Source organism: Homo sapiens, chromosome 2, assembly GCF_000001405.40.
Source record: "Homo sapiens chromosome 2, GRCh38.p14 Primary Assembly".
In the NCBI taxonomy this organism is placed as follows: Eukaryota; Metazoa; Chordata; class Mammalia; order Primates; family Hominidae; genus Homo; species Homo sapiens.
In genome coordinates, this window is record NC_000002.12 from 9726106 (window position 1) to 9731445 (window position 5340).

A 5340-nucleotide genomic window follows, 5' to 3' on the forward strand; every position below is an offset into this window, starting at 1 on the left:
TAGTGGGTGCAGCGCACCAGCATGGCACATGTATACATATGTAACTAACCTGCACAGTGTGCACATGTACCCTAAAACTTAAAGTATAATAAATAAATAAATAAATAAATAAATAAATAAATAAATTAAAAAGAAGAAAGAGATCCATCCATCAATCAATTGGCCCTGAGAGATAGCAGTCGGTCATAAAATTGCAGTGGTGAGTATTAGTTGAACATGTGTTATGTGCCAAGCACTTTACATGCATTGCCTCCTCCTCATGGTGGCTGGAAATCTCTCTTTGTTGTGTCAAGAGGGAAACTGGGGCCCAGAGAAGTGAGTTGTCCAAAGGCCCAAGTCAGTCCTCCAGCAGCATTTTCTTTATCTTCTATGTATCTCATATTTGTACTCAGAGATACTCATTTCCTCATCAGGAAATGCAGACAAGGCCAGGCACGGTGGCTCACACCTATAATCCCAGCACTTTGGAAGGCCAAGGCAGATTGGCCGAGGAGTTCAAGACCAGCCTGGACAACATGGAGAAACCCCATCTCTACTAAAAATACAAAAACTTAGCCAGGTGTGGTGGCACAGCCTGTAGTCCCAGCTACTCGGGAGGCTGAGATGGGAGGATCCCTTGAGCTTGGGAGGTGGAGGTTGAAGTGAACCGAGATCGTGCCACTGCACTCCAGCCTGGGCGACAGAGCCAGACCTTGTCTCAAAAAAAAAAGAAAAAAGAAAAAGAAAAAAAGAAAGGCAGGTGAACACAAGGAAGTTTATGGCTTAAACTGCTTTATTATGCAACAGCCCATGCCAGAGACCCAGGAAGTGTCCTCCCAGACTCAAGGAAAGGAGCAACTGGAGTTCTTTGCTCAAGCCTGTCTTAGAAGCCACAGAGTATGGAGTCTACCAAATCTCCCAGGCTTGGGTTCCCAAGGGAAACCGAGCTGGGGCCTCGTGGAGCTCAGTTCTGGAGAATCTTCCTAGTAGCAGGTGTCTGGGTCTCTGGATCACAAAGCTGCAAGACTCAGATTCACCTAATTTGAAATCAGAAAGAGACCCTAGTGTCCCCACTCCCCATTACCAGATGGGATAAGCTAATGCCCAGAAAGGGGGCATGACTTTCCAAGGCCGCACAGCAAGACAGCGGAATGACCTGTGCTCTGACCATAGGTTCCCCCGAGCAGCACTGAAGGGGATGCCTGCAAGGCAGAGACTTTGGAGAACATTCAGTCTTGGGGTTCCCTAAGCTGGCTGCAGAATCACCTGAGAATCTTTGAAGAGATACCCACATCTGGACCCCACCCCAGACCAGATAAATCAAAATATCTGGGGGTGAGACCTGACATGGACATCCTTCTAAAGTTCCTCAAGTAATTCTAACGTGCAGCTGGCGCTGAGAACCACTGTTCTAGACAAACTAAGCATGAGCCCCAAAGATGGGAAATGCCAGGCTGTAGTGACAGCTCTGAAGACCAGAGAGGAGCTCACCCCTGGTCTTCAACCCCACCTTCAGGAATTTTTTTTTTTTTTTTTTTTGAGACGGAGTCTCATTCTATCACCCAGGCTGGAGTGCAGTGACATGGTATCGGCTCACTGCAACCTCTGCCTCCCGGGTTCAAGTTATTCTCCTGTCTCAGCCTCCTAAGTAGCTGGGATTACAGGTGCCCACCACCACGCCCGGCTAATTTTTGTATTTTTAGTAGAGACAGGGTTTCACCATGTTGGCCAGGCTGGTCTCGAACTCCTGACCTCAGGTGATCCACCCACCTCGGCCTCCCAAAGTGCCGGGATTACAGGCGTGAGCCACTGCGTCCAGCTCAGGGCTCTTTCTAATCCAATACACTGCTGCCCTCTAAAAACAGTCTGATGTTTGATCCCCATCAGAGCAGCGCCAAATCTGGCTGGCGGGGACGTTGTGCTCAGATGTGTTTGGAGCAGAGAGCCCCAGTGAGGAAGGCAGACTCCAGGTCAAGTGCCGAGCAAGTTGAGAATTCTAGTGTCACCATAGCTGAGTTCACTAATTTCCAGACTTGGAGAGATTTAGCCACCCCACTCTCCCCTAAGTCATTCTGTCCACCCTCCCAGTGGCAAGGCCTCTACTGTCTCTATCATTACAGCAGGCCTGCGGTGTCTATTGCTAGTGCTAATTAACAGATGAGCCGAATAAGGCCTCAGGGAGGTTAGGCAACTTGTCCATGGTCACAGGCCAATACACAGGCCTTGGCCAATAATTTGAACCCAGTTCAGCATAAAACCAAAGAACATGTTCTTGCTCCGGTCTTTTGCCAACTCCGTTTGGGTCCTTCCTGCATAGGCTCAGATTAGCCATTTGGTCATCATCCACCCTGGTGTCCTAGTCCCAGGTGCTCCTTTCCTTGAGTCTGGGAGTACACTGCCTGGGTCCCCGGCAATGGGCTGTTTCCTCCTGCTCTTCCTTGCCCAGAAACCACTGGCCAGATTATGGACCAGGGACACACACAGCGTCTGTCAGGGTCTGAGACTGAATCTGAGATTGGAGACCCATTAAGAACCAGCTCTGGCTCCAAAAATCTGCCTCTTGATCTCTGCAAAGAGCTGGTATAGCTGGAAGAGAAACAAATTAGAGCCGAGATTCTGTGAGGCTTATGTTGAAGCAAAGCCTGCCATGTGAAGCCTGGGCTTTCTTTTTCATCTTCATTTAAAAGGAGGGTGTTTATGCAAATTTGTCATGAAGGTTTAGCAATCTTGGCTTGTCCTGGAGCCAAGCTCTGCTTCCTAATTGGATCGGGGATAATTGTTAATGCTTACAACCAATGTTCCTCTTAAAATTGCATGTTTTGTAAGAGTGGCTCCTGAAAACATATAATTCTGATGTTGTAAAACCACTGCATCAATGCAGAGTTTTGAAAACATGGAAAAGTTCACCAGAAAACTGAGGGGGCTGTTATTCCTGGTTGTGACAGTCTTGGATGTCACTGGTTGTGATACTCTCTGGATATCGTGGAGAAGGAGACACAGGCACTTGTGGATTGATGTCTCAATCATACAGGAAGATTGGTAATTCTGGGATGGGACACAAAGAAGAAAGAGAATCAGATTAGGAGGCCTGGTCATGCTGTGCCCCAGGCTGCTGAACTGTCTGAGGCAAATCTTTTGCAGCCTCAGTTTCCTCGCCTAAGAAATGAAAGGGTTGGGCTAGATGCCCCCAAGTAACTTTGAGTCACTGAGAAACTTCACTTCTCTGGGCTTCACTTTTCCCACATGGCAGTCGAAGGTATTGAACTGGGTGACTCAGAAACAGCCTGGCCCTAAAATTCCATCACCTCTGAAATGTTCTGCTGTTGAATGATTCCCAGTCTGCAAGAGGTGTTGCTGGGCATCCCCCTTCATCGTCTTCTTCCCTTCTTCCCAGCAAAGTTAGTGTAATATTTCCTTGATTGCATGTGGCTTGATCTTTCCAGTGCTGGCAATACAGGTGGATTTAAGGAAATTTCATTTTCTACTTTCAGAGTCAATCACAGTTTAGCCTTTTTTATCCCTTATAAATGTATCGGTGGATGATGGGGGAGAATGAAAGGTGCAGAGCAGGCTTAGAGCCACGTTCTTCCTTCTTTGCCTTGCAAAGAAATGAACCTCTGAGGCTCCCTGCAGGGTGGACAGTCTGCCAGAAGCTTCCTGTCTGCAACTTTGATGCTTGCGAGTCTTGAGTCCAGGGCTGGGGACTGGCCAGGGGTGCTGCTGTGGGACCTCTCCGTACATTGTCTTCTGTGAGCCTAAGAAGGCTCCTGGACAAGGCATGCCTCTCCTGCAGACTCTATGGCTGCTGGGGACCCTTGCAGTGGCCCCTTCACGCTACATGGCTTCATCAGCTGCAGCTCACAGGAGGACAGGGGTGGGCCCTGCTCCCAGCTCCCCTTACAGCTCCCGGTGTATCCACTCTCGCACTTCAATGTTAGAGTGGTTCTCTCGGGGGGCTCCGGGCCCTCAGGAAACCAAGCCTTTTTTATTTGGGCTCCGTCCCCTATTTTGGTTCCAGCTGAGGATTGGCTAATCCTACCGCCATTCCAGTTCTGTGGCACCTTGGATCTGCTAATGGAACCAGCTTGCATGACAATCTCGGTTCTGGTCTGACCACGGCCGTTTAAACAAGGCTGGACCTCCCATGCACTGCGTGCCACGGAATCACTCACGGCCAGCAGTGCGCACTCTTGATACAGGTAGGTACAGGGCCACTCTCTGATACTCCTGACACGTTGCTTCTGAGCGGCTCCTTCTTTGATCCCCTTCCTCTCCAATCCTCCACTTACAACCCTGGCTCCCAAGATCTTCTTCTGTTTTGCCTGGACGGTAACCTATTCTGACCCCCTCTTTGTTTTCATGGAGGCAGCCTTCTGTTAGGTACTTGGCTCTGAGAGTCTTCCTTATGTGAGTGTCCTTGAAACTCCAGATAAGTCTCCTCCTACTGCCCTGGGGCTCCCAGGGCCCTCCAAGGCCATGCCCTGGCTGGAGAAGAGCACAGAGATCAGGCTGCGCAGCCACCTGGATATCTGTTCAGGAGAAGCTCGTCCAGCCAGCATCCACCCCCGGGCATACACTCTTGCTCGTGAATCTTAGGATTAGTGGCTTTTACCTCAGACCCTTCCAACCTGATTTAGAAACCTTCCCTTCCCTTCCCTTCCCTTCCCTTCCCTTCCCTTCCCTTCCCTTCCCTTCCCTTCCCTTCCCTTCCCTTCCCTTCCCTTCCCTTCCCTTCCCTCCCCTCCCCTCCCCTCCCCTCCCCTCCCCTCCCCTTCCCTTTCCTTTCCTTCCCTTCTTTTTTTTCAGAGTCTCACTCTGTCTCCCAGGCTGGAGTGCAGCGGTGCGATCTCGGCTCACTGCAATAGCCTCCCAGGTTCAAGCAATTCTCCTGCCTCAGCCTCCCAGGTAGCTGGGACTACAGCACACACCACCATGCCCGGCAAATTTTTGTATTTTTAGTAGAGACGGGGTTTTTCACCATGTTGACCAGGGTGATCTCGAACTCCTGAGCTCAGGTGATCCTCCCTCCTCAGCTTCTCAAAGTGCCGGGATTACAGGTGTGAGCCACTGTGCCCAGCTGAAACCATTTATTTCTAAAGACAAACATGAGAGTCTAGATGCCAGAATGCACACAAATCCTAGATCAAATTGGGGGGAAACCCTTGAAAAAGCAGGGCCAAATTGGCAGAAAGGTGGAAAACGTCACTGGAGGCCAGAAAGTCAAGAAAACAGAAATCCAGAGAGAAAAGTGGTCACTGAGGCTGGGGTTTGCCTGGGCAGATACTGGGTCACATAGGAGGGATACCAGAGACTGATTCGAGGTGGAAGGTCACATTGGAGACCCACCCCCAGCATAAAGCC